Consider the following 27,417-nt stretch of genomic DNA (forward strand, 5'->3'; position numbering starts at 1 on the left):
GTTGCAGTGACCCGAGATTATACCACGGCACTCCAGCCTGGTGACAGAGCAAGACTCTGTTTAAAAAAAAAAAAAAAAAAAGGGGCTAATTGGTTGGTCAGGGGTGGCTCACGCCTGTAATCGTAGCACTTTGAGAGGCCGAGGCAAGCAGATCACCTGAGGTCAGGAGTTCGAAACCAGGCTGGCCAACATGGTGAAACCCCGTCTCTACTAAAAATACAAAAACATTAGTTGGGCATGGTGGCAGGCGCCTGTAGTCCCAGCTACTCGGGAGGCTGAGGCAGGAGAATTGCTTGAATCCGGGAGGCAGAGGTTGCAGTGAACCAAGATTACGCCACTGCACTCCAGCCTGGCAACAGAGCAAGACTCTGTCTCAAAAAAAAAAAAAAGAAAGAAAATAAAAGAATATGGGCTCGTCATCCAACCATCCAGCCATCGAAAGACAGTGTGTTGTTCTCGTGGCCCGAGACTGCCTTCTGTTGCAGACTTGTCCTGACAACCTAGCTTTCCTCACTGCAGAGCATGCAAACACCTGCAATCCCCATTTTCCTGTCTGCCACCTCTCAGTTATTCATGTCAATTTTATTTCTTAAGATGTGCTGTGTGCACTGTTACTGTGTGTAGCAGGGTTGGGAAAATGCTATGGCTACATGTTACACGCAGATGCACTGACCAGCTGATGGAGGTTAGCGTCACAACTCATGGTGCTGTGTGTGATGCTCCAACTCAGGGTAGGGTCATTCTAGGAAATAAATCCCTAGGCATTTATTTCCATATTTATATTTGCACCAGAAGCTTAAAGAGGACAGTTCACCCCTGAGAGACAGCAGTGATAACCAATAAAGTGAGAGATCCCAAGAGGATGTAAAACTCAGGATGGAGAGAGATTTTCTTTCCAGAGTTAAAGCTTGACATGTCTGAATCTCACCAAAGGAAATAGGCAAAATTATTTTCCAGTGTATGTGCTTCTAAACTTTTCTGTCACCTACCCACATGTCCCAGGAAAACCTCTGTAAATAGGATGAGTTATCAATGAACTCTATCTTGCTTGTTTATTTTTTATTTTGTGCTGCTACAGACAGACTCATAAGCAGAAAGAAAAGGTCATTCGCCTCTTAAATTTTAGTAAAGATAGCCCAAGCCATTATCCTCTGAGTTTGAGGCTGCTTTTCCTGTGAGATTGTTCATTCATTTATTTAATATGTATTTACTAATTCAGCATCTACTATAAGGGATCCTGAGGTGCTGGGAATACCACGGGGAGCAAAACAAAACAAGAAGCCACCTTCACAGCCTGGTGGAGGAGAGAAACTTTAATCAAATACACAGAAATATATTTAAAATCTCAACTGGGATAAGTGCCATGGTGCTACAGGAGCTTATATTAGAGACAAGGGACCTCATGCAGTTGTGAGGGAGGAGGGTTTAAGAAGGCTCCCCCCGCCCCACCCCACCAAGGAACAATTGAATTGAGACTGGAAGGATGAGGGGAGTTACTGTGGAGGGGATAGGAAAAAGTCATCTGGGAAAAGAGAACGGCCTTTTAGAAGGGCAAGGCCATCGAGAAATTAAGCTGGAGTTGCCTGAAAGATGGAAAGGATAGTGGCTGATGTATCAAGATGAGGAAGTGGCTCGACATTGGTCAGGGAGAGGTGGCGTTTCCAAGTCTGGGAGAAGGGACGAGTTCCAGGGCTGGTATGTGGATGGCGGGTGCCTGGATCTTGATGGAATATAATGCCCCAGAAGTGGCAGAACCTGTGGGTGGTGAAGGCTACATATCGGGCCTGTGGACTGTGAAAGTTTGCAATAACTGGCACTGTCTCCCTCTTCTTCCAATTGAAAGGATTAACACACAATGGTCAATATGAAAGCACAAAAGAAATGGAATACACTTTAACGAGAATTGGTATGTGTAGCAGCTTGGAACCTTGTCTTTGAAGTCAAAGCACTTAGATTTAAATCCCAGCTCTACTGTTACTGGTAAATTGCGTTCTTTTCCTAGTCTGTATCAGTTGCAAAGAAAGCACACCAACTGGAAAAAACGGCAAGCGGGTTTCATTCCTGGCCAGGAATAGAGAAGGAGTAAACTTTCACTCTAAAGACCCCCTTCTTCCAGAGCTTTGGGAAGCTGGGGAATTGTAAGGCGTTAGATGTGGAGTGGGGAGGTATGCAAGCATATGCCGGGAGGAACTCTAGACGCACAGGTGCATTTCATAAACATGCCTCTTCATACAATGCACTATCAGAAAATGGCGGCGATTCTCTTCTACGGGTCGGGAGTTGAGCATATAATGATGTATTAATGATCTAAAAGTAACAAGGGGTGGCTGGTTCTGGTTTTCTCTGGTTCCTAGTAGGCCTTATCTTTCTCTGGTACTTGGCAAAGGGCAGTGAGGATCCCGGGCCAACCGCAGTTGTTTTAAGCTGGGTTACCTATAGATAAAGAGACTAGGAAAAAAAATCAAACAAACAAAACGGTTTAAAAAACAATGAGCATTTTCAGCTGTCTACTGTTTAAGAAAATAATGAGCTCTCAGTTTTGCCCTCTGAGCGATTTCTCCAGGACTGCCCTGGTAACACTACTACTCAACAGTTTTGTGCTTTGCGCAGTTACTTGACCTCCCTGGGCCTCGGTTTCCCCACCCATAAAGTGGGGATAACAGTACCTATTTCATCAGGTGGTGGGGACGATTTAAAATGGTTAATAATGTGCAGTTCTTAAAAGTGTCTGGCTCAGAATAAGCACCATACACGTTAGGGGGAAAAACAGCAGCCGGATGTGAGGCCCTCCCCAATTTCGTTACTCCATAAACCTCTGAGTTGCTGGTAACACCTGCAGGAATGAGAAGGGCCTCAACATGGGCTGAATTTCCAGCCAAACTGTGGGAAGTGGCTGAGATTTTAGGTAGGCAAAAAATGTTAATGTAACATTTTTGGCCCCCAAGTTCTCAGACCACTTACTTCCCTTTCTAGTCCACTGACATGCCCGCAAGCAATTCCATTCTGCCAAGTGGTGCTGGTGGCAAGCCGGAATCCAAGAAAAGGAAAGACTCCGATTTTAAGGGAACGGGGACATGCGGAGCCACGTGAGTCACTGGGTCCCAGAGCCACGGAAGGCTCTCAGCTCAGCAGTCAGAGTGCACTCGTCATTGCGTTCGAGGTTAGGTGGCCTAGCCTGGGAACCAACTCACCGTCATTTGAAATCGTTTTAGGGAAAATGACCCTAACATTTAAAATCCTCTCTCCTGAAGTTGTGTGGTCCAGCCGTTTGCTGAAGGAGGAAGCAAAGCCGGTAGTAACTCACTACATATTTGGGCAGTGGAATGAACCCTGGAAGCTGACAAAGTCGAAGCAAGTCACTGCGCCGCCCCCCACCCCCACCCCCACCCCAAATAAAAACAGAGAGACAATCCTTCAATTATAAAGAAGACCACGGCGCCCGGGTCTCCGGCAGGGGCCGCTGCAGCCGAGCAGAACGCTGAGCCGCTCCGCCCCACGGCCTCCTCTCCAGCCGGCGCGCCCGCCTCCCGCAGGTGCGTCTCTGCCTGCGCCGGGCCGGGGTCTCCGCGGCCTCTCCCGCTCGGGCTCCGGCTTCGAGGTCCCGACCAAGCACTGCTCTCGCGGGACTGCGCGCACCGCCCAGGGCCTGCCGCGGGCTCGCGAGCGGAGGTGGCACCGGTCCGCGGTGCGCATGCGCGGCCCGGCCTCTGCCCTGCGGTCCCGGGCTGGTGACTGGCTAGCGGTTGGAGGAAGGGATGTGGGGGATGGTGGGTGGGTACAGAGAGCTGGGAGGGAGGCACCCCGGGGGGCGGGGCGTGGGAGACTGTATTCGGGGGCGCGAGCTGCCCCAGGTGAGCCGTGGCTCAGGTCCGGAGCGCGGTCGGGACACAGCGCCTCTAGGAGAAAGCCTGGAAGGCGCTCCGGGGGTACCCAGAGCTCTTAGCGGGCCGGCAGCATGTGCGGGGCCCAAGGTCTTCCGGGCTCTGCGTGGGGGTCGCTGCGGCTGGAGACCAGGGAGGGGGATGGAAACGGGGTTGGAAAGTAATCCCACCCGAGCAGGTGGGCATGGGAGGCCGCTGTGCTGGGGAGCCCCGCGAGGGCTCCGAACAGAGCCTCCCTTTTCAGAAAGGTCACCCTGGTCATTGCAGCTGCCAGGGTGACCGAGGAAGGTGGCCGGGGTGGAGGCAGTGGGCGTGGAGAGGGGTCGGATTCCGGACGTAGTTTGAAGGTGGAGCCGTCAGGTTCTGCTGAGCAGCTTGGCTATGGGGCGTGCGAGAAGGGAAGGCTCAGGGCCTAGTCCCTGGGCACGAGTAGTAGCCGGGAGGATGAAGTCCCAGTGCTTCGGGGGGAGGCGGCTTGAGGACGGCTCTGGAGCTCAGGCTTGCCCGCGTGGAGTGGAAGCTGCCTCTTGGACACAGGGCGGGGAGGCCGCATGCAGTCTGGCGCGCTGGGAGGATGGGAGATCCAGAGGGGCAGGGCTGGAGGGGTAGGAGGAAAACCTGAAGAGGGTGGCGCCCGGAAGCCCGGGAAAGTGATGAACTGGGTCAGAGGCCGGGTATCAACAAATAGGAGGGTGGAGACGACCTTGAGGAAAGCAGGTGATGGAACGGGAGGGAATGGGGCCCCCTAGTGGAGACACCTGGGAGTGATGTATTGCATTTATTTAGCTCTTAGGCGTTCAAAAATTATTTATTGGGAGCCTGTACAACTTTTTGCAGTTCATTGCATTATCCTTAGCATGTATTTTGTTTTATATAAATATATATTTATATAATTATTTTTATTGACAAATTTATATATTTATAGCGTACAGTGTAATGTTTTGATATATGTATACATTGTAGAAAGATTAAATCAAGCTAATTGACATATCCATCACCTCACCTACTTATTTTTTGTGGTGAAAATCTACTCTCCTGGAAATATACAATACATCATCAACTATGGTCACCATGCTGTGCAGTAGATCACTAAAACTTACTCCTCTTACCTAACTAAAACTTTGTATCCTTTGACCAACATCCCTCCCTTCCACATCAGCCCTCTGCCAGGCCCCTGGTAACCATCATTCTACTCTGCTTCTATGAGTTCAACTTTTTTAGACCCCAAGTATATAAGTAAGATCATGTGCTGTTTGTCCTTCTGTGCCTGGCTTATTTTACTTGGCCTCATGTCCTCCAGGTTCATCCATGTTGTTGCAAATGACAGAATTGCCTTCTGTTTTAAGACTGTATAGTATTCCATTGTATATATGTGCCACATTTTCTTTATCCGGTCCTCAGTTGATGGATACTTAGTTGCTTCTATATCTTGGTTATTGTGAATAATGCTGAAAACAACACAGGAATGCAGCTATCTCTTCAACATACTGATTTCAATTCCTTTGTATATATACCCAGAAGTAGGATTTCTGGGTCATGTGGTAATTCTATTTTTAGATTTTGAGGAGCCTCCATACTGTTTTCCAAAATGGCTGTACTAATTTACATTCCACCAACAGTGTACCAGGGTTCCCTTTTCTCCACATTCTGGACAAAACTTGTTGTCTTTGATCTTTTTTATAATAGCCATTCTAACAAGCGTGAGGTGGTAGCTCAGTGTGATTTAATTTGCATTTCCCTGGTGGTTAGCAAAGTTGAGCGTTTTTCATGTATTTGTTGACCATTCATATGTCTTCTTTTGAGGAATACCTGTTCAGGTTCTTTGTCCATTTTTTAACCGGGTTATTCGTTTTGTTTTGTTTTGCTGTTGAGTTTTTTGAGTTTCTTATATATTTTAGATAAGAGCCCCTTATCAGATGCATGGTTTGCAAATATTTTCTCCCAGTCTGTGGGTTGTCTCTTTACTCTGTTAATTATTTTCTTTGCTGTGCAGAGGCTTTTTAGTTTGATGCAATCCCATGTGTCTATTTTTGCTTTTGTTGCTTTTGGGGTCCTATCCAAGAAATCATTGCCCAGACTAATATGGAGTTTTCACCTATGTTATCTTCTATTAGTTTTACAGTTTCAGGTGTTATGTTTGAGACTTTAATCTATTTTGAGTTGATTTTTGTATATGGTGTGAGATAAGGACTCAATTTTGTTATCCAGCATGTGGATATTCAGTTTTCCTGATGCCATTTATTAAAGAGACTTTCCTTTTCCCATTGTGTGTTCTTAGCACCTTTGTCAAAAATCAATTGACTGTAAATACTTGGGCTTATTTCTGGGCTTTCTATTCCTGTTCCATTGGTTGATGTGCCGATTTTTATGCCAGTGCCATGCAGTTTTGATTACAATGGCCCTATAATATATTTTGAGATTAGGGAGTGTGATGCCTTTGGCTTTGTTCCTTTCACTCAAGACTGCTTTGGCTATTTAGGGTCTTTTGCAATTCCATATGAACTTTAGGATTGTTTTTTCTATTTCTGTGAAAAATGATATTGGAATTTTGATAGAGATTACATTGAATCTGTAGATTGCTTTGGGTAGTATGGACACTTTAACAACCATTAATTTTTCTAATCCGCGAACATGGGATACCTTTTTACTTATTTGTGTCTCTTTTCTCACATCAGTGTTTTATGGTTTTCAGTGTACAGGTCTTATATCTTTGGTTAAATTTACCTGAAGTGGTTTTTTCTTTAATGCTATTATAAATGAAATTGTTTTCTTAATTTCTTTTTCATATAGTTGGTTGTTAGAGTATAGAAACACCACTGATTTTTATATGTGATTTTGTATCCTGCAACTTCCCTGAATTTATTAGTTCTAACAGTTTTTTTTGGTTGAGTCTTTAGTGTATTCTGTATATAAAATCATATTATCATCAAACAGGGATCATGCTGATAACATCTTATATATAGAAATCTCATATATCTTATATGTCTCTCTATATTATATATATATTTATATATCCCTATAGATCTCTCTGTATATCTTATATACATAGATATTATATATCTATATTTTATATACATATCTATATTATATATAGATCTTATATATAGAAAACATATATAGAAAAATTCTTCCCTTCCTATTTGGATGACTTACTTCCTTTCCTTGCATAATTGCTCTGGCTAGGACATCTAGTACTACACTGAATAGACAATGTGAGAGTGAGCATCATTGTCTTGTTCCTGATCTTAGAGGAAAAGCATTCAACTTTTTACCGTTGAGTATGATTTAGCTGTGAGTTTGTCATATTTGGTCTTTCTGTGTCACAGTACTTCTATACTTATTGAGAGTTTTTATTATGAAAAGATGTTGAATTTTGTCACATGTTTTACTGCATCTTTTGAGGTGATCATACAGTTTTTGTCCTCCATTTTGTTAATATGGTATATCTCATTTATTGATTTGTGTATGTTGAGCCATCTTTGCATTCCAGGGATAAATCTCAATCATGATGAATGATCCTTTTAACGTGTCAGTGAATTCAGTTTGTTAGTATTTTGTTAAGAATTTTTGCATCTATGTTCATCAGGGATATTGGTCTGTAGTTTTTCTTCTTGTAACGTCCTTCTCTGGCTTTGGTATCAGGGTAATACTGGCCTCCTAAAATGAGTTTAGAAGTATTTCCTCCTCTTTAGTTTTTTAGAAGAGTTTGAAAATAATTGGTATTGGGAGGCCGAGGCAGGCGGATCACGAGGTCAGGAGATCGAGACCATCCTGGCTAACACGGTGAAACCCCGTCTCTACTAAAAATACAAAAAATTAGCCGGGCGTGGTGTCGGTTGCTTGTAGTCCCAGCTACTCGGGAGGCTGAGGCAGAATGGCATGAACCCGGGAGGTGGAGCTTGCAGTAAGTGGAGACGGCGCCACTGCACTGCAGCTGGGGGGACAGAGCGAGACTCCATCTCAAAAAAAAAAAAAAAAAAAAAGAAAATAATTGGTATTAGTTCTGCTTTAAATGTTTGGTAGAATTCAGGTCATCAGTGAAGCCATCAGGTTCTGAGTTTTCTGTAAATTTTTTTCCCTCAAATTTCTGATATAATCTTTCACTTCTATCTTTCAGAATTGGTAGGGTGCCCCCCTTTTTCACAGAGAACATACAGGCTTTTAAAAAAAATCTGTTAGGTGAGTTTCAGATTTCATGAAAAGGCATCGTTAAATGACATTACTTGGATTAATGTCAATTTATAAGAACCTGCCTAGCACCCAAAAAGCTCCCAATGACTGATCAATGAGTTTATTTCCTCCCTCAAGGCCTCTTTTCCCACCTGGAAGATAAAATCAAGGCAGGAGTCTTCACCCAGGGTAACTTTCACCCTGAGTCCTCTTTCCTCTAACTGTCACAATGGTGCCTTGTCACCCTTCTGACATTGCTTCTAAATTTGAACAGGGTTGTAACCTTGTGGAAACTAGAACCACTGCCTGCCCTGACACCCTGGAAAAGCAGATACATGTTGGCACAAAGGATGTTTTCAATAAAGACTTTGTAGTAGTATCTTAAAAGACTATTTAGTAGCAAATACTAAATTGTATTTAGACTTTTAGTCTTAAAATACTTTGTAGTCGCAAATAAAGACTAAGAAAATAGTTTTATGTTATGAACATTTACGATCTTGGGAATAATTCCAGGTGACATTGTTCTTAATTTCTTTTAAATTCTTAATGACTTTTACAATCCTACCTTCATGCCTGATAAAAAAAAATGACAGTTTATTCAGTAGTTTTTTTGAATTCTTTTACAGTAAATGGAAATGTTTTCTAACATATAAAAACCTACAGAAGAAGAAAATAATTTTCTGGATCAAATTAGAAGTCTGTATTATATTGATGTCTCCAGATTCAAATATATTAGAAAGCAGCCGTGGAGACAACCATCTTCATTTTGGGAGAAATAACTAAAGGTATGTATTAAGCTCAAGATGATAGCCTAAGTAACTTCATGCAGCATATAAGAAGCTTTTAGTTACTGTTAGGCAGTATTCAGAGTTTTGATCTTCACAATTTTCATGACATGCAAGTTTAATAATTGTCATCTCTAACGATATTTTTAAAACTTCATGCCCCTAATTATTGAAGCTGGGTGATAAGAATATAAGGGTTCCCCATACTACACTGTTTATTTTTGTATATGTTTAAGTTTTTCCAGATTTTAACAAAAAACCCACAAACTATATTAACACCTCATTTGTTCCTTACTGAGTTTTCCAGGTAAATTGAAGTTTGTCAAAAGTTTATCATGCCCATGCTAGTTGAAGATCATGGCAATCCATTTTCCTCAAGCTTTCTTTAAATCAAGCACTGGAGTGATATTCATGTTGGTTGGATGTCACCATTGTCACTGAGTCTGGGAGCTGCTCACCAGAGTGGCTGCTGGGGCCCATGAGTCTGTTCACTTCCCTCTAGCAGCCAGTCTGCCTGCCTTCCCTGCAGAAGTAACTTTAGGCAGCCAGACAGCCTTGTCCCCTGAGGTTGTTCTGGAGACACTACACCATGTTTCTCTAACCTCTTCTCTTTTTGAGTGTCAATCTTCTTCTACAGTCTTTTTGATTGCAGAAGAGACAGGATACATTGAAAACGTGTTGACTTGCTTGCTTATTTGTAGGTGAGGTTTATCATATTACTCCTTACGCACTGTAAAATTCACGCTTTTTATTATACAGTTCTATGAGTGTTGAAAAAAATCACAAAAATAAAGATAATGTAATTTTACGTTGCTCTAAAAATTTCTCTGCTCCCCCTTACTCCCCCGACCCCTGTCCCTGGAAACCACTGGTGTGATTTCTGTACCAACAGTTTTGCCTTTTTAAAATGTCTTATAAATGGTCTCAAAAACTATGTAGCCTTTTGTATCTGGCTTCTTTCACTTAGCATAATGCTTCTCTGTCTCTCTTTCCCTCTCCCTCCCTCTGTTTCTTCCTCTCTTTTTCTCTTTCTCTCTTTCTCCCTCACTCTCGCTCCTGCTCTGGCCTTCTCTCCTTTCTTTGACAGGGTCTCACTCACCCAGGCAGGGAGTCCAGTGGCACAATCATGACTCACTGCAGCCTCAACCTTCTGGGCTCAAGTGATCCTCCTACCTCAGCCTCCTGAGTAGCTGGGACCATAGGCATGCACTGCCATGCCCAGCTACTTTTTTGTAGAGATGGGGTCTCACTTTGTTGCCCAGGCTGGTCTCGAACTCCTGGGCTCAAGTGATCCTCCTGCCTCAGCCTCCCAAAGTCCTGGGATTACAGGTGTGTGCCACCATGGCTGGCCCTTTTTTTTCTTGTTGTGAAGCAATTTTATTTTGAAATAATTTTAGGCTTACAGAAATGTTGCAAAAATAGTACACAGAGTTCTCATTATACCATTTACCCAATTTCCTCTAATGTTCACATCTTACCTAACTAGAGTGCAATGATCTAAACCAGGACAAGTACTACACCTAGACATTTACATATACAGTACTAGTAACTAATTTACAGGCTTCATTCAAATTTTGCCATTTGTCCTACTAATGTCCCTTTTCAGGTCTTGAATCCAGCCCAGGATCCCACGTAGCATTTACTTGTCATGTCTCATTAGGACCTGGGACAGTTTCTCCAGTTCTTATCTTTCAAAACTTTGATACTTTTCTGAAGAGTATTGGCCAGTTTTGCTGTAGAGTGTGTAGAACGCCCCTCAGCTTGAGTTTGGCATTTTCTCATAACTAAATTGCAGTCATGAATGCCACACAAGTGATGCTTTGCCCTTCTCATTGCATCATATGAGGAGGTAGGTGGAGTCGCCATGTCTTATTACTGGTGATGTTAACTTTGATCACTTGGTTAAGGTGGTAGCTGCCAGCTTTTCTACTATAGAGTTATTATTGGATAACACTTTTAAAGATTCATTCATGCTGTTGAAGGTATTAGTAGTTTGTTCTTATTGCTGAAGAGTCTTCATGGTATGGATAAACCACAATTTGTTTACCCATTTATAAATTGATGGACATTTGGTTTGCTTCTAGTCTTGAGCCTGGCACTATCTGATAGGCCTTGGTGTTCTATTGAACATAAACCACGTCACAGAGCACCGATATCAGACAGGGCCACTCTGTGACCACAATGGGTCAGGACAAGAACAAGGCCACTCAGTAATCACGTCTGAACTGGGACCGAAACAGGAACATTGTTGAAGCCACAAAGATGACCAAACATCCTCCCATGCCGCTAACATGAGGGACTCCTGCTTGGCCACTCACAGCTCTAGCCTCTCTTCATTCCTTCCACCTTTTAGATAAGATCCATTAACAGCATCAAATCCAGAACAAAGCCCCACTTCCATGAACCTCTCCCCAACATGATCTAACACAAGCACAAATCCTCTAATCAGTCCATTCCAGGTTCCTAACAGATGCTGCAGTTCTTCATGGCGTGTTCTATCTCTCGCAACTTGCTCGAGTACAAGTGTGTTCCTTGGACTGGAAGGCATTGATAATCCAAACAATATATAAACACATATGGAAAATCCTTGCTCAGCTCTAATCTCCTTACATAGCGTTTCCCACCCTATACTCAATTCTTTTTACTAATTTCTTGTGAATTCTTTTTTTGTTTTTATAGCAAATGCAAGAAAGTTAAGGTATATTCTTTTATCCCCTTGCCTTTCTCTTACAAAATACAATTGTGGTAAAACACATGTAACAAAATTTAGCATTCTAACCATTATTAAGGGTACAGTTCAGTCTATTCGCATTGTTGTGTAGCTAATCCCCTGAACTCATTTCATCTTGTAAAACTGAAGCTCTATACTCATTATTTTTAAGTAAAATATGTGTCTAATAAAATTAACCCTTTGTTAGTATTGAGTTTTATGAGTTTTGACAGATACAGTCATGTAACTACTACCACAATCGAGATATATAACAATACCATTGCCTCCCACCAAAAAAAAAAAAAAAAAAAATTCCCGCATGCCCCTTTTTAATCACTCCTCCCCTTTCTGGCAACCACCGTTATATTTTCTGCCCCCACAGTTTTGTTGGACAATCAGTGTCATTGTTCCAAATGTTGTCTTTCTCTGTGTTTGTTTTCTTTTTATAAAATTCCTCAGGTATAGACAAAGATTTACTGAATGTGCCTTAAGATCCACGAGTTTCTGTGACACGATGTTATCTTAATACTATTGTCACAGTACACTTCTTTCCTTCAGAATTTAGTTCTCAGTTAGAAATTACATTCTCACAGAAACTACTTTGGGCTGGGCATGGTGGCTCATGCTTGTAATCCCAGCACTTCGGGAGGCCTAGGTGGGTGGATGGCTTGAGCTCAGGAGATCAAGACCAGCCTGGCCAACATGGTGAAACCCTGTCTCTACCAAAAATACAAAAATTAGCCGGGCATGGTGGCGCGTGCCTGTAGTCCCAGCTACTGGGGAGGATGGGGTGGGAGGATCGCTGGAGCCCAGGAAGTCAAGGCTGTAGTGGGCCGTGATCACGCCACTGCACTCCAGCCTGGGTGACAGAGTGAGACCCTGTCTGAAATAAAAGAAAGAAACTGTACTTTGACCGCAAGTTGAGAGACTAGTGGTGGTTTTCATACCTTCTTTTTTTTCTTCTTTGTTCTTTTTTTTTTTTTTTTTTTTTTGAGATGGAGTTTTCCTCTTGTTGCCCACGCTGGAGTGCAATGGTACAATCTCGGCTCACTGCAACCTCTGCCTCCGGGGTTCAAGTAGTTCTCCTGCCTCAGTTTCCTGAGTAGCTGGGATTACAGGCATGCACCACCACTCCCAGCTAATTTTTTGTATTTAGTAGAGACAGGGTTTCACCATGTTGGTCAGGCTGGTCTCAAACTCCTGACCTCAGGTGATCCACCCATCTCGGCCTCCCAAAGTGGTGGGATTATAGGCGTGAGCCACTGCACCTGGCTTCATACCTTTTGAAAAGCAGCAAGTTTTCAAATGAATTCTCATATTTAACCCTTTCTTGTGCATTTTAGTGGTCCTCAAACTTGAGTAGTTACTAGAATCACCTGGAAATAGATGATGGGGTCCACCCCCAGAGTTTCTGATTCAGCAGCTCTGAGGTGGAACCAGAGGCTGCATTTCTAACAAGATTTCAGGTGATGGCGACGCTGCTGGTCTAGGGAACACGCTTTGAGAAGCACTGCTCCAAGGCACCTCTGCACCTCTAGGAGCACTTGAGAACACAAACGGAAAACAGCCAGTTCAGAGGATGATCTGTTACTAAAGATTTTTTAAAGGACATTCGTGTATGTGTGCGTGTGGGTATAATATAATATACATGATGCGTTTCTGTAATATATAAAATATAAATATTTATACATATTTCCATATATAAAAATATTTGCTGATTGTTTCTACACTATTTGTTTTTGTGATTTTTCTAAAGCCCGCCTCAAGCATTAGAACTACAGACAAACCCTGATGCGACCTCTCCAGATTGTCCCAAGTCGATTGATTTCCCAGCTATATTGTGGCCTGAAGCCTCCAGCGTCCACACGAAACCAGATTTGCCTGAAAATGGCTCGGCCAAGTTCAAGTAAGTCATTTTACCCATTGCCTCACCTGCAGCCAAATGTGAAGTACCTGAAAGTCCTACACTTCGAGAGGAATGTCTCTGTCAAATTAGGTATTGGGCAAGGTTTTGGAGAAAGCCACTCTGTCATCTTCTCTTTTTTTTTTTGAGACGGAGTCTTGCTCTGTCGCCAGGCTGGAGTGCGGTGGTGCGACCTCGGCTCACCGCAACCTCCGCCTCCTGGGTTCAAGCAGTTCTCTTGCCTCAGCCTCCCGAGGAGCTGGGACTGCAGGCACATGCCACCACAACCAGCTAATTTTTGTATTTTTAATAGAGATGGGGTTTCGCCATGTTGGCCAGGATGGTCTCGATCTCTTGATCTCGTAATTTGCCTGCCTCAGCCTCCCAAAGTGCTGGGATTACAGGCATGAGCCACCGCGCCCACCTGTCCTCTTCTCTTTTAGGTAATCCCTTCTAGGGCACCTTCAGAGCCTATCTCCTTAATACTCAAGTCCATCTAGGACATTTTGTTGCTTCTGCCAGAATATTTGCATTTAAGCTTTTTACACATGTTTTGTACTATAAAATCCTTATCTCTCTGCAGGGGAGGAAAACTGGTGATTGTCCTATAGGGCAGTATGAGGTTAAATTTTCTCCTGGACAGAAATACTTTGCAGCTCTACCTGGCAAAAACCTACAAATTAACCTGTCTGGGCCCTTAGTCTATAGTGAACTCAGAAGAAGAGTAGGCTTTTTCCTCTCTGGCTCCATTCATGTTTTGGCAGCACAAGGCTGAGAGAAATTAAGACGGTCACGGTGGAACAGAACAGAGGCCTCAGAAATAACACTACACATCTACAACCATCTGATCTTTGACAAACCTGACAAAAACAAGCAGCCTATCTCTGGAAGGGATGTGAGTTCAGGTAGAGCTTTAGTGTGATTGGTGGGGTAGTTGGGTTGGTTGCAACCTGACGAGAATGGCGTGTTGTGACCGTCTTTTGTTATTTCTTTTACTTTTTTATTTTTTAAATTATTTATTTATTTATTTTTTATTATAATTTAAGTTCTAGGGTACATGTGCACAACGTGCAGGTTTGTTACATAGGTATACATGTGCCATGTTGGTTTGCTGCACCCATCAACTCATCATTTACATTAGGTATTTCTCCTGATGCTATCCCTCCCCAAGCCCACCACCCCCCGACAGGCCCCAGTGTGTGATGTTACCCGCCCTGTACCCATGTGTTCTCATTGTTCAACTCCCACTTATGAGTGAGAACGTGTGGTGTTTGGTTTTCTGTCCTTGCGATAGTTTTCTGAGAATGATGGTTTCCAGCATCATCCATGTCCCTGCAAAGGACATGAACTCATCCTTTTTTATGTCTGCATAGTATTCCATGGTGTATATTTGCCACATTTTCTTAGTCCAGTCTATCACTGATGGACATTTAGGTTGGTTCCAAGTCTTTGCTACTGTGAATAGTGCCGCAATAAACATACGTATGCATGTGTCTTTATAGTAGCATGATTTATAATCCTTTGGGTATATACCCGGTAATGGGATGGCTGGGTGAAATGGTATTTCTAGTTCTAGATCCTTGGGGAATTGCCACACTCTCTTCCACAATGGTTGAACTAATTTACACTCCCACCAACAGTGTAAAAGTGTTCCTATTTCTCCACATCCTGTCCAGCACCTGTTGTTTCCTGACTTTTTAATGATCGCCATTCTAACTGGTGTGAGATGGTATCTCACTGTGGTTTTGATTTGCATTTCTCTGATGGCCAGTGATGATGAGCATTTTTTCATGTGTCTGTTGGCTGCATAAATGTCTTCTTTTGAGAAGTGTCTGTTCATGTCCTTTGCCCACTTTTTGATGGGGTTGTGTGTGTTTTTCTTGTAAATTTGTTTAAGTTATTTGTAGATTCTGGATATTAGCCCTTTGTCAGATGGGTAGATTTCAAAAATATTCTCTCATTCTGTAGGTTGCCTGTTTACTCCGATGATAGTTTCTTTTGCTGTGCAGAAGCTCTTTAATTTAATTAGATCCCATTTGTCTATTTTGGCTTTTGTTGCCATTGCTTTTGGTGTTTTAGTCATGAAGTCCTTGCCCATGCCTATGTCCTGAATGGTATTTCCTAGGTTTTCTTCTAGGGTTTTTATGGTTTTAGGTCTTACATTTAAGTCTTTAATCCATCTTGAGTTAATTTTTGTCTAAGGTGTAAGGAAGGGATCCAGTTTCAGCTTTCTACATATGGCTAGGCAGTTTTCCCAGCCCCATTTATTAAATAGGGAATCTTTTCCCCCTTGTTTTTGTCAGGTTTGTCAAAGATCAGATGGTTGTAGATGTGTGGTGTTATTTCTGAGGCCTCTGTTCTGTTCCACCGTGACTGTCTTAATTTCTCTCAGCCTTGTGCTGCCAAAACATGAATGGAGCCAGAGAGGAAAAAGCCTATTCTTCTTCTGAATTCATTTTTACCAGGAGTCCATGGTAGGGAAGAGAGGAAGGGAAGGGGAGGAGGGGTTGAGCCCTTATTGACAGTCTCTATCCTAGGCTGGGCATAGTGTGTGGCTCTGGGCTTATGAGGATGAGTAAGTTCCATCCCTGCTTAGAGGGAGTCAACCATACATGAGAAACCAGTAGGATGCCCCTTATGGCTGGGATACAGAATGAGGCCACGTTCCCTTTAATATTTAAGCTCACCATCTCTGAGCCCCCATCCCACTATGTTTCTTCCTTGCCTGCTTCCTGCCTGTCCCTGGTTCCATCTGTCAGGGGAGGGTTAGCCTCCCCTCATTCATTCAGTCCAAGGGTTAGCCTTGGTTGCCATTTCCTCAAGAGAGGAAGGCCAGGGAGCCTGCTTAGTCAGCTGAGGAATTCAGCTCCACATTTGCTGGAATTCTTAGTGCTTTAACACAGGGTGGCCATCCTTGGAAGATCTCCATATCCAGGGTGGGGCATTCCCGGCTTCAGTATCTTAGGCCTGCAGCAGGCAGTGAGGTACAGCACTCGCTTCTCCAGGGGGAGGGCAGAAAAGGGGCTCTCTGTTCTCCTCCTGGCAGCGTATGTTCAGTGTTGTACCCCTTAATTCTGGCTTTCCAGGGCCACAGCGCTTACCTTACAAGGGCCTGCAGAGCTGCGGTGCCTAGGAGAGAAGCAGAAACAAGCTGTGTCCCCAGCTGACCTCCCTTTCCCAGTTTCTGCTGCCCAAGAGAAACAGTGGCAGCTTCCCCCATCATGAGTTCCAAGTCTGGCTCCTGCTTCTTGTCCTAGGATGAGGACATTTGTTTCAGGGGAAAAAATCCCACCTTGTGATCCACGTAAAGTGCTTGGCATAGCACTTGGGGTGCAGGGAGCCCTCACCACCATAGCTGCTGTCCCTGTGGGTCTGTGTTCAGGCAGGAGAACTGCCTGGAGTTGCAGGACGGGAGGGCAAGCCATGGTCTGTGTCCACAATTACTTCCTCTCGTGTTATTCTCTGTCTTCAGTTCCCTTTGCTACCCCAAGTCTCTGGCAGTGTCCTGTTGAAAAGTTTGGCTCTCATTTGACTTGTCAAGAAGAAGGCCATGTGTCCTCAAATAAGACCCTTGCCCTCACCTTCAGTCGCTGTGCTGAGGGAAGCTGAAATTAGCAAGATCCCCAAAGGGAAGGTGAACTGGGGGAGGAAGGGTAGGCTTTGGGGTCCAGTGGGCCTCAACTCAGCACTCACACAAACATACAGGCTTGTTTTTACTTTTATGAAGGAAGATGGATTCCTTCCCACTAGGCTTTTTTTAATCTTCGTAACATGCCTGCTCTAGGGAAGGCACTACTGTGCACCTCAAAGAGCCAAGGACAGTGAGGATGGAGAAAGGTACGTAACTTATGTAAGATCACACATTTGTGTGGGAGGCAGAGCTGCGGTGCAGAGCCGGCTGTGTGTGCCCAAAGCCCCTGCTGCTTTAAAATATTGTACACTCACCCAGCAGGTCACATGGGGATGGTGTTTTCATGGTACAGGAATGATGTTTGTTTATCTTAAAGTATAACTTCACACTAGGTCAAGTTTCAAGATACAGACAATTGATATGGGATACAAATGTCCAAACTGTACACTGGATTGATAAAGATTTCACTCTGTTTAGGTATGGCAGATTTTCGAAAGTTTTTTGCAAAAGCAAAGCACATAGTCATCATCTCAGGAGCTGGTGTTAGTGCAGAAAGTGGTGTTCCGACCTTCAGAGGAGCTGGAGGTTATTGGAGAAAATGGCAAGCCCAGGTTTGTAAAGTTTCCAGAACATTAAAAGCCTCTGTCGAATGAAACCATAACAGAGTTTGACTCAAATCCTATACCGATCCCCGAAACCCCAGGGAAATGGTTTTTAAGTGAACTGTGACCCTATTGTCTCATTGATTTTGGCATAAACACAAAGTTTCTATGATTAAGATCAAAATTTAAGCAAGGCTGCCACGTTCCTTCCTAGATAGGTGTGGATTGCATTTATTCAGGTAACAGTTTCTCCTAATAATTGTGTTAAAGTGAAATCAGAAGACCTTGGTTAGCATCATTCATTACTTTATTCTAAAATTATTGAACTCAAGTATGACACATAAAGTTTCTGTGAACTTTTCATGTTAAAACTAATGTCAGTTATTGAAGGGTTAGGATTTGATATTCAAAAATTTATAGGAAGCCCTTCAGAATGTAAGTTCTGTGAAGGTGCGGATTTTTTTAATTCAATTTTTATTGAGATCTAATATACATAAAGTAAAAGTCACCAGTTTTAAGTGTACAATTTAATGAGTTTTAACAAATGGACATAGTTGTATAGCCAGCACCATAATCACAATATGGAACAATTCTGTCCCTCCAGAACATTCCTTCATGGCCCTTTGCAGTCCGTGCTCTCCCATCCCACTGGCTCAGGAAATCCCTAGCTTTGGAAGACAAGGAATTGTTTGATTGTTTGAGATGGAGGTTTGCTCTTGTTGCCCAGGCTGGAGTACAATGGCGTGATCTCGGCTCACTGCAACCTCTGCCTCCCAGATTCTCCTGCCTCAGCCTCCCGAGTAGCTGGGATTACAGGCATGCACCGCCACACCCGGCTAATTTTTGTATTTTTCAGTAGAGACAGGGTTTCACCATGTTGGCCAGGCTGGTCTCAAACTCCTGACCTCAGGTGATCCACCCATCTTGGCCTCCCAAAGTGCTGGGATTACAGGCATGAGCCACCGCGCCCGGCCTCTGTTTGTTTTATTCGTTGCATTGTCTCCAGTTTCCAGAACTCTGGCACATTATAGGTGCTTAATGGATTTTCGTTGGCTGAACGAAAGCAGTCATAAATAAATACTGCAATACATGTCTTCCATGGTTAGTAGCTCATTTCTCATTGAATGCAGAGTTCATGAAGCTGCCCCTTCCTTCTTCTGAACATCTGAGCCTGGCAGATGTTTCGGTGTTTTGCCTCCTGCCTGCTGCCATCTGGGTGAAGGGTGGGGGTCATTACCTTAAAGGTGAAGTGGGGAGAAAGGAGAGCAGAGAACATTAGGGGCCAGCAAGAAAGAGGGGCCACTGGGCATTCCCTGGATTAGCAGCAGCAGAGGGTGGGAGGTCAGAGGGTGCGGGAGGAGCTCGGAGGAGGGGCGCTTAGTTGCGTCCGAAAAGGCTCAGAGTTTGCAGACAAAGCAAAGAAGTCAGTAGAATGTATTTGACTCCAACACCCTTCCAGGGACGCCTGTGGACATATTCCTGTGCCACCTATAAACTACTCCAGGCCATGTGTTCTAGGTGAAGAGCAGGGTCGGTGTGGGTCAACCTCTCACGTGGCAAAGGCTGGCATTACCACTAAGCAGAGGGGCCTTTACGGTAGAATGAAATGCACATGTGTTCAATGTAGGAAGTGTCTCCTTGATAAAGAAGCCATATTTCTTTTTAAAATTAATGTTATTGAGGCAGAATTTCCTTAGAATAAAATGCACCCATGTGCATTGTGTGTACAGTTTGATGAGTTTTAACAGGTGCATGCAACTGCGTAACACCCCCACCTCCACTATCAAGAAACAGAATGTTTCAGTCATCCCTGAAAGTTCCCTGTGCCTTTCCCTGCCAGCTCCCAGCCCCAGACAACCCCTACTCGGCTCCTTTACCAGAAAGGAGGTTTGTTTCTCCCAGAACCATATTTAAAGTGTATGTATTTTATCTATTCTGTTTATATATAAAATATACACTTTTTATGTGTAGCTGTGTGTGTTTAGTTGTGTGTGTAGTTGCATGTATGTGTGTAGCTGTGTATATATGTAGATGTGTGTAGTTCTGTGCGTGTAGGTGTGTGTGGTTTTGTGTGTAGGTGTGTGTATGTAGATGTAATTGTGTGTATGTTTAGTTGTGTGTGTATTAACAGATATGTGTAGTTATGTGTATGTTGTGTGTATGTATGTTGTGTAATTGTGTATGTTTAGTTGTGTGTGTGCAGTTGTGTGTATGTAGATGTGTGTAGTTGTGTATGTAGATATGTGTGTATGTTTAGTTGTGGGTGTAGTTGTGTATGTAGTTGTGTGTATGTACAGTTGTGTGTATGTAGATGTGTGTATATGTTTAGTTGTGTGTATGTAGTTGTGTGTGTGTGTAGTTGTGTGTGTGTTTAGCTGTGTGTAGTGCATGTGTGCAGTTGTGTGTGTATGTAGACGTGTGTAGTTTGTGTAGCAGCATATGTGTGTTTAGCTATGTGTGTGCAGTTTATATGTAGATGTGTGTAGTTGTGTGTGTTTAGTTTGTGTGTGTAGTTGTATGTTTAGTTGTGTGTATAGTTGTGTGGATGTAGATGTGTGTAGTTGTGTGTGTATCTTTAGTGTGTGTAGTATATGTAGTTGTGTGTGTGTCTAGTTGTGTGTATGTGTGTGCAGTTGTGTGTGTGTAGATATGTGTAGTGTGTATGTATATTGAGTTGTGTGTGTTTAGTTGTGTGTAGATGTGCGTGTATGTAGATGTGTACTTGTGTGTGTGTGTATAGCCATAGCTATAGTTACAAAAACTGAGTTTCTCACCCATGGTCATTAGAGCTCAATGGGCATTTTGCATTTCATGCTTTCCCTGGGTGTAGGTCAAAATGAGATCCACTTCGTGTGTTTTAGAGCTGCATGAAAAAGGGGATTCGACCCAAAATACCTTCCTGCATGTTCCTTTACTTCATCTTCACTACTTACTTGGGAGGTAGATGGGACAGGTTGCATCATCCCTGTTTTGTCACTAAGGAAATTGACTGATTTCTCCAAGGTCCCTGGGCAGTCCCAGGATGGGGACGTAGGCTGGTACCCAGACCCTGCCTGGCATCTGCCATGTTGTTTGAACATAGTGCTGCCATCTCCAGCCTGCACCTTCCCGACGCTGCCTGTCTCTGCCTTAGGGAGGAAGGGCCTGTGCCCCAGGGTTCAGCATCCTGGCTGTCTCTGCCTCCCTCACTCCTGCCTCCTCTCCCACTCCCAGGACCTGGCGACTCCCCTGGCCTTTGCCCACAACCCGTCCCGGGTGTGGGAGTTCTACCACTACCGGCGGGAGGTCATGGGGAGCAAGGAGCCCAACGCCGGGCACCGCGCCATAGCCGAGTGTGAGACCCGGCTGGGCAAGCAGGGCCGGCGAGTCGTGGTCATCACCCAGAACATCGATGAGCTGCACCGCAAGGCTGGCACCAAGAACCTTCTGGAGATCCATGGTGAGAGACCCCCAGCCTCCCATTCAGGGAACCAGCTTTAAAACACCTGTCCTGCTGTTTCAGCATCACCTCTGGTGCCTTCCCTCCCTCCCTGCTGGACATCCGTCCTGTCCTATAGGATGCTGTGGCATTTCCTTTGGGGACATGTTAGTGTCCCGTGGCACCTGGGCAGCTGCCTTTGGCCATGGGAGGAGCCCCTGACCCACTAACATTATTCACTTAGCAGTTCCTCCATCCTCGCTGCTCAGGGTGGTCTAAGAGCCAGCAACATTTGGCGTCCCCCAAGAACTTGTTAAAAATGCAGAATCTCAGGCCCCATAGGCCCCACTGAATCAGAATCTGCATTTTCCCATGAGCCCAGGTGGCTGGCGTGCTTTTTATACTGGAGGAACGCTGGGGTGCACAGCTGCGTGACCCTTTCCTCTGTGGAGGGGCACGGTACTGTGAGACAATGGCCTCAATGAGCTGAGGAATAAGAGGCCTGGCCCATTGGACAGCTGGGGCTTGAGCAGGAGCAGACTGCAGCATCTTGGGGTCTCCTGTCACTCCCCCTTCATCCTGGTGGGCACTCCCCACTGAGGCTGTGCTTCTGCCCCGCCCTGGAGCCTCAGAGAGCTGCCAGCTCAGTGCTGGACACTGCACCAAGCCCACCAAGCCTGTGATGTCGGTGGACCCCACTGAGGCTGTGCTTCTGCCCTGCCCTGGAGCCTCAGGGAGCTGCCAGCTCAGTGCTGGACACTGCACCAAACCCACCAAGCCTATGATGTCGGTGGAGTTTGTCTTGGGTCCCTCTGGGCTCCTTCCTCTGTCCTGGGTAACCCCTCACCCCTTCACTCTTGTCTTCTGGCTCCTCCCTTCTTTGCTGTCACCACAAATCTAAAACATCCACTTGTCCACAGTCATAATGGGCAAACTAGGGTTTCCCCCAAGGCCATTTGCATTTAAAGAGTCTGCATTCAAATCCAAGGAATGCATTTCTTATTTTTTAAGCATTTATTTCTCTTAATTTAATTTAATTTAATTTTTTTTTTTTTTTTAGCAATGGGGGTTTCACTCTTGCCCAGGCTGGGGTGCAGTAGCCTGATCATAGCTCATTGCAGCCTTGAACTCCTGGCCTCAAGGGATCCTCCCACCTCAGCCTCCAGAGTAGCTGGGACTACAGGCACATGCCACCATGCCCAGCTACTTTTTAAAATTTTTGTGGAGAGTGTCTCACCATGTTGTCCAGGCTGGTCTCAAACTCTTGGCCTCAAGCAGTCCTCCCTCCTCAGCCTCCTAAAGTTTTGGGATTACAGGCTTGAGCCACTGTGCCAGCCAAAAATGCATTTCTAAGTGTAGCATTTCCAGAAGCAGTGCACCAGTCGGGGGTGTTTGTTTTTGCGTGTGTGTGGTGAAGCTGCCTGCTTTTACTTAGATCACCCTGATAAGGAAAGCGAGGCACTACTCATTTCGACTGTGTCTGTCTTTTGTTCATCAGGAACAGCCAGCCACCTATTAACCGAGCATCTTTTTGGTACCTACATCTGCTGGGTCTGAGCCACTTTCCATGTGCCTCTGCTGATTTCCCTGCAGTGTCAGAATGTGGGCTATGTCATCAGCATAAAACCGAGATGACAATGCCTATCTTATAGAATTGTTGTCGGGATTAAATAAGATCATATATGTGTGTTAGTCAGGACTTTTTAAAATTTCAAACGATGAGAACTCTCTTCTAACTTAGGTTAAAAAAAATCAATGGCATCTTCAGTCTGATGAAGGGTTTTTTTTAAGATGCATCATGTTTTTAATGTGGCATTTAGAATATAATCTGCCTAAACCATGATATACTATTTTATTATCCCTTAGAATTATTCTATACTTAGAGAAAGAGCTTGTTAAAACTTAGACACGTTCTTTAGAAATTATATCTTTCCAGGCATACATAAAGTATGAGTATGATAAACTGGTCCAAATATTTCTCATTATCTAGCTCTTCTAAATGATTCTGAGTGACTCAGAGCACGGATGTCTGTGTTTTCCATGCAGTTTCATGCTCTGTGTCTCGGGAGATGGATGATGCAGCGTTTCCTGAGAGAATGCCCCTCTGTTATAGCTGGGATTCTCATCCAAGCTCCTGACACACCTTCCGCAAGTTCGCTATTGGGCCTGACATGTTCTTACCAAAAGGCATCAGTGGAAAGGCTGTAGACAACAGCCAAAACTTGCTTTCCTTCCTGAAGTGGCCCTTGAAGGGTTTGTTGGCGGAAGGATCCAGGGGCTGAATCTGCCCGGTCAGGCCACGGAGAATAACAACAAAGTCACCCCATTTTTCAGTGTTCTCCTTCAACAAGTCTGTGCAAGCATGATGATGATGTTACAGTCTCATCTGGCCAGTAGCAATTGTAGGACACATCTGAATTTCAGAGATGTGAAAATGGGGAAAAATGTCTATGCTAAAACTGACAAAGTAGGTTTATTGGCTCACAAAACTGAGGAGCCTAGTGGTGCAGCTTATGTCATCTTTCCTCCCGGCCCCTGTCCCCCTCCTTCTTTCAGCTTTGCTCACTCTTTGAGGTGGCCTCCCTTCTCTCTCTGCAATTGATCTGTCTCCACGCGCCAAGGGAGAGTGCCTCCGACGGCTCCAGCTCAGCCACCTGCTCAGAAAATAAACCTCTGGGTAGGCTTGCTTGGTCCACACGCCCACCCTTCTGACCAAACACGACTGCAGAGGGATGGACACCACATGGGGGCCGTGCGCAGCATGTGGCTGAGCTTGTATTTGGGATGTGACCCACAGCCCTATTGGCTCAGCATGCGAGAGAGCAGGGATGGTGCTCCCCAAGGAAGGACTGGTGGGCAGGACGGAGCAGCGCATGTCCACTAGGGTTGAAAGTGCTCTGCACGGCACCAGTTGCCTGGTACCCATTTCATAAACTGTGGCCACCATGATTGCTTCAGCTCAATAAGTGGTGGTTAGTATTAACAATTACTTTTTTCACTTATTAGTTGATTACTTATTTATTGAGGTGCTTTTGTATAAAAGATTCAAGCTTTCTGAAATCGAAGTTAAAATTTTGTAAACATATCCCACGCCATTGAACCTTTGTCAGTCATGTCAATAAATCACGCCCTTAGATTTAGGTTGAGCTCCCTCTACCCTATTGGCAACTTCTGCCCACTTGAACACCACTCCAAGGTCATCTGATGGCACATTAGTCATGGAGTTATTTATTTTTCCTCCAGATTATAAAGTCCTTGAGGGCATATGCTCTTGACTGGCTTAAGAGTACTGCATGCCTCTGTTTCCCATGAAAGCTAAAGCTAGGGTAGGCCCATTTGCTAAAATGAAGTATGGCTCAGTGTGGCGGTGCACACCTATAGTCCCAGCTGCTCAGGAGGCAAAGGTGGGAGGATCGCTTGAGCCCATGAGTTGGAAGCTGCAGTGAGCTATGATCGTACTGCTACACTCCAGCCTGGGTAACTGGGTGAGACCAAAACATGAAATGAAGTGTGAAAAATAAAGTATCTTATACCCTTTTAGACATGGAGAAGGTTGCTCTTGATTATACTAAATTCTGGATTTGCTTCATATGTATTTTTCAGGTAGCTTATTTAAAACTCGATGTACCTCTTGTGGAGTTGTGGCTGAGAATTACAAGAGTCCAATTTGTCCAGCTTTATCAGGAAAAGGGTAATTATACCACACTACAGAATAAGTATAGGTTGTTTTCTCCTTTAGGTTGAACATAAATGTGAGGAAATTGAACATTCATCAAAGATTCCCATGGATATTTATGAGAAATAAGACTAAATACAAGGCTGGGTGCAGTGGCTCATGCCTGTAATCCCAGCACTTTGGGGTTACAAGGTGGGGAGACTGCTTGAGTTCAGGAGTTCAAGACCAGCCTGGGCAACACAGTGAGAAACCTGTCCTACAAAAAAACAAAACAAAACAAAAAACCACAAAAATTAGCTGGGTGTGGTGGCACATGCCTGTAGTCCCAGCTACTAGGGAGGCTGAGGTGGGAGGGTTATTTGAGCCTGGGAAGTCAAGGCTGCAGTGAGCTGAGATCATGCCACTGCACTACAGCCTGGGTGACAGAGGGAGACCCTGTCTCAAAAAACAAACAAACAAACAAAAAAACTAAATATAGCCATGTGATAAAAGAAATATTTTGCTCACAACTTACAGTGTTAAGTGAAAACCACAGGGTCCTAAATTTGTACACACAATGAGTTCGTGTATCTGTATATAGTTAAAAGACCAGAAGAAAATACAACAAAATGTTAATAAGGAATATCAGGAGTGGAGGGATTATGGGTAATTTTTAATTTCTTCTTTATATCTTTCTGAATTTTCCTATATTTCTATTATGAACATGTACTATTATTACAATGAGGAAAAAATTTGAGGGTAGACACAATATTGAGAAAAATTCCACTCAGCCTTTTAAAAACAGTATAAATTGTATAAGGACTATATAATGTCATTGCAGAGGATACAAATGATGATGATGATGATGTATAAAGGTAAACATGAAGTTCCCCCTTGGCACACCCAGCCACTCCAGCCCTCCCCACACATGCATTCCCTCACTGGCAGTACAACCACTGGTGATTTTTTTTTTTCTGAGACAGGTTCTTGCTCTGTTTCCCAGGCTGGAGTACAGTGGCACAATCACACCTTACTGCAGCCTCCAACTCCTGGGCTCGAGCAATCCTCCTGCCTCAGCCTCCCAAGTAGCTAGGACTATAGGCACACATCACCACACTCAGCTAATTTTTGTATTTCTGGTAGAAATGCAGTCTTACTGTATTGCCGAGGGTTGTCTTGAACTTCTGGCCTCAAGCAGTCCTCCCACTTTGGCCTCACCAAATGCTGGGATTACAGGCATGAGCCACTGTGCCCAGCACCACTGGTAATTAATGGCTTGGGGTCCTTCCTTCTAATGCCCTTCCAAGTGAGCATGTATTAATTAGGAGTTTTATACCACATACTGCCAGGCAAATATACAAACTGAGTTATGTTGTTTCTTTATTTTTTATTATGCCAATAACAATCTTTCTTTTCTAATATTATTTACTTCAGTGCTCCAGAACCTGGAACTCAAGATGCCAGCATCCCAGTTGAGAAACTTCCCCGGTAGGTAGAAAACTCTGATTTGTACTGGTGTTCCAGGTTACCAAAACAAAAAAAAAAACAGACATCAAAACCTAAACATGTATTTGGCAAGACGCCTCTTAAATCAAATGCACAAATGTAAAAACCAGGCTTGATCTCTGAGACCAAAAGTGAAAGGACAAAGGATGAACCAAATTAGGATGAAAAGAATGATTTTTTTCCAACCTCTTTTTGCTTTGTGTTGTGGTAGGATCATTTGAGGTCGGGAAAGTTTCTGAAGCTGTCGTGCGACAGGTGGTTACCCAGTGTACAGAAAGCATAGGGGCTGACCTGTAACTGGTCAAATAACATCACTGGCATTATTAATCCAGGGTTAGGGAGGCAATGAAAGGACCTGAATAGGAGAGGTTACAGGACCAAACAGAATGTTCATAGATTAAAAAAAAAAAAAAAAAAAAGGAAGATTTTTATGCCAATTTTTCAAAACCAGGCATTAAAACAGCACTTCTATAACCTGTAATTGGATTAGAAGTTTTTTTGTTGTGTTTATTTTATTTTATTTTTTTTTGAGATGGAATCTCACTCTGTCACCCAGGCTGGAGTGCAATGGTACGATCTTGGCTCACTGCAACCTCCACCTCCTGGGTTGAAGTGATTCTTCTGCCTCAGCCTCCCGAGTAGCTGGGATTATAGGCGCCCGCCACCACGCCTGGCTATTTTTTGTGTTTTTAGCAGGGATGAGGTTTCGCCATGTTGGCCAGGCTGGTCTCGAGCTCTTGACCTCAGATGATCCACCCGCCTCAGCCTCCCAACATGCTGGGATTACAGGCGTGAACCACTGCACCCGGCTGGATTAGAGTGTTTTTAAGGTAAAATAAAACAGCACTTCTAAAAGTGTTTCATAGAACATTAATTTAATGTTACGTTGAGACATTACTTGAAAAAAACATGTTAGGCACTCAAATAAATATGGAAATGTTAGACTAAACAAAGTTAAAATATGTTTGCTTTACTGCAGGACTTTTTAGAGCATTTAATCCACATTGCTGCCTTCTAAAAAGTGGTTGTAATACGTATGTTAATGCTTTACTGGCTTATTTAACCACAGAACCTTTTAAATTTTCCTCATGAGGGTTTTAATTGCTAAATATTAAAAGTTTTCTTCTGAAGGAATAGGTAGACCTGGAGGATTCCT

The 27,417-nt window shown here is 43.9% G+C and overlaps 1 protein-coding gene and 1 long non-coding RNA gene across 44 annotated transcripts in view, besides 6 other annotated features; one reads left to right on the forward strand and one right to left on the reverse strand.

The window, feature by feature from the left end:
• Positions 1–1,298: 1,298 nt before the first annotated feature.
• LOC105374937 (uncharacterized) lies at positions 1,299–3,661 on the reverse strand. The gene is made up of 2 exons (XR_926497.4): positions 3,192–3,661; positions 1,299–2,448 (listed from the first exon to the last, which is right to left on the reverse strand). It is a non-coding gene; the product is annotated as an uncharacterized LOC105374937 (long non-coding RNA).
• Positions 3,381–3,900: a silencer, noted in NCBI's record as "silent region_16933". NCBI's record gives its function as "represses an Ori minimal core promoter by ATAC-STARR-seq in GM12878 lymphoblastoid cells {active_cell/tissue: GM12878}" and the evidence as "EXISTENCE:reporter gene assay evidence [ECO:0000049][PMID:35858748]".
• Positions 3,381–4,179: a biological region, named in NCBI's record as "NANOG-H3K27ac-H3K4me1 hESC enhancer GRCh37_chr6:13574598-13575184".
• Positions 3,501–27,417, forward strand: part of SIRT5 (sirtuin 5) — a 40,885-nt gene continuing 16,968 nt past the window's right edge. For 4 of the 43 annotated variants that reach the window (NM_001376799.1, NM_001376809.1, XM_047418519.1 and 1 more), the window contains exons 1-7: positions 3,501–3,533; positions 8,678–8,836; positions 13,303–13,452; positions 17,558–17,691; positions 20,896–21,121; positions 24,704–24,791; positions 26,190–26,243. In NM_001376799.1, the coding sequence (NP_001363728.1) occupies positions 13,338–13,452; positions 17,558–17,691; positions 20,896–21,121; positions 24,704–24,791; positions 26,190–26,243 (617 nt within the window). In that variant the 5' untranslated portion in view covers positions 3,501–3,533; positions 8,678–8,836; positions 13,303–13,337. Of the gene's footprint in view, positions 3,686–3,755; positions 4,599–7,998; positions 8,061–8,677; positions 8,837–13,302; positions 13,453–14,213; positions 14,355–17,557; positions 17,692–20,895; positions 21,122–24,703; positions 24,792–26,189; positions 26,244–26,954; positions 27,092–27,417 lie in introns of those variants that run through there. The other 39 variants (NM_031244.3, XM_024446388.2, XM_017010620.3 and 36 more) reach the window with 23 other exon arrangements.
• Positions 3,593–4,179: an enhancer, noted in NCBI's record as "NANOG-H3K27ac-H3K4me1 hESC enhancer chr6:13574598-13575184 (GRCh37/hg19 assembly coordinates)". NCBI's record gives its function as "activates a minimal SCP1, AML or CMV promoter by ChIP-STARR-seq in primed H9 embryonic stem cells {active_cell/tissue: H9 hESC(primed)}" and the evidence as "EXISTENCE:reporter gene assay evidence [ECO:0000049][PMID:30033119]".
• Positions 4,111–4,590: an enhancer, noted in NCBI's record as "active region_24037". NCBI's record gives its function as "activates an Ori minimal core promoter by ATAC-STARR-seq in GM12878 lymphoblastoid cells {active_cell/tissue: GM12878}" and the evidence as "EXISTENCE:reporter gene assay evidence [ECO:0000049][PMID:35858748]".
• Positions 4,111–4,765: a biological region, named in NCBI's record as "NANOG-H3K27ac-H3K4me1 hESC enhancer GRCh37_chr6:13575185-13575770".
• Positions 4,180–4,765: an enhancer, noted in NCBI's record as "NANOG-H3K27ac-H3K4me1 hESC enhancer chr6:13575185-13575770 (GRCh37/hg19 assembly coordinates)". NCBI's record gives its function as "activates a minimal SCP1, AML or CMV promoter by ChIP-STARR-seq in primed H9 embryonic stem cells {active_cell/tissue: H9 hESC(primed)}" and the evidence as "EXISTENCE:reporter gene assay evidence [ECO:0000049][PMID:30033119]".

This window comes from Homo sapiens, chromosome 6 (assembly GCF_000001405.40).
Source record: "Homo sapiens chromosome 6, GRCh38.p14 Primary Assembly".
Lineage (NCBI taxonomy): Eukaryota > Metazoa > Chordata > Mammalia > Primates > Hominidae > Homo > Homo sapiens.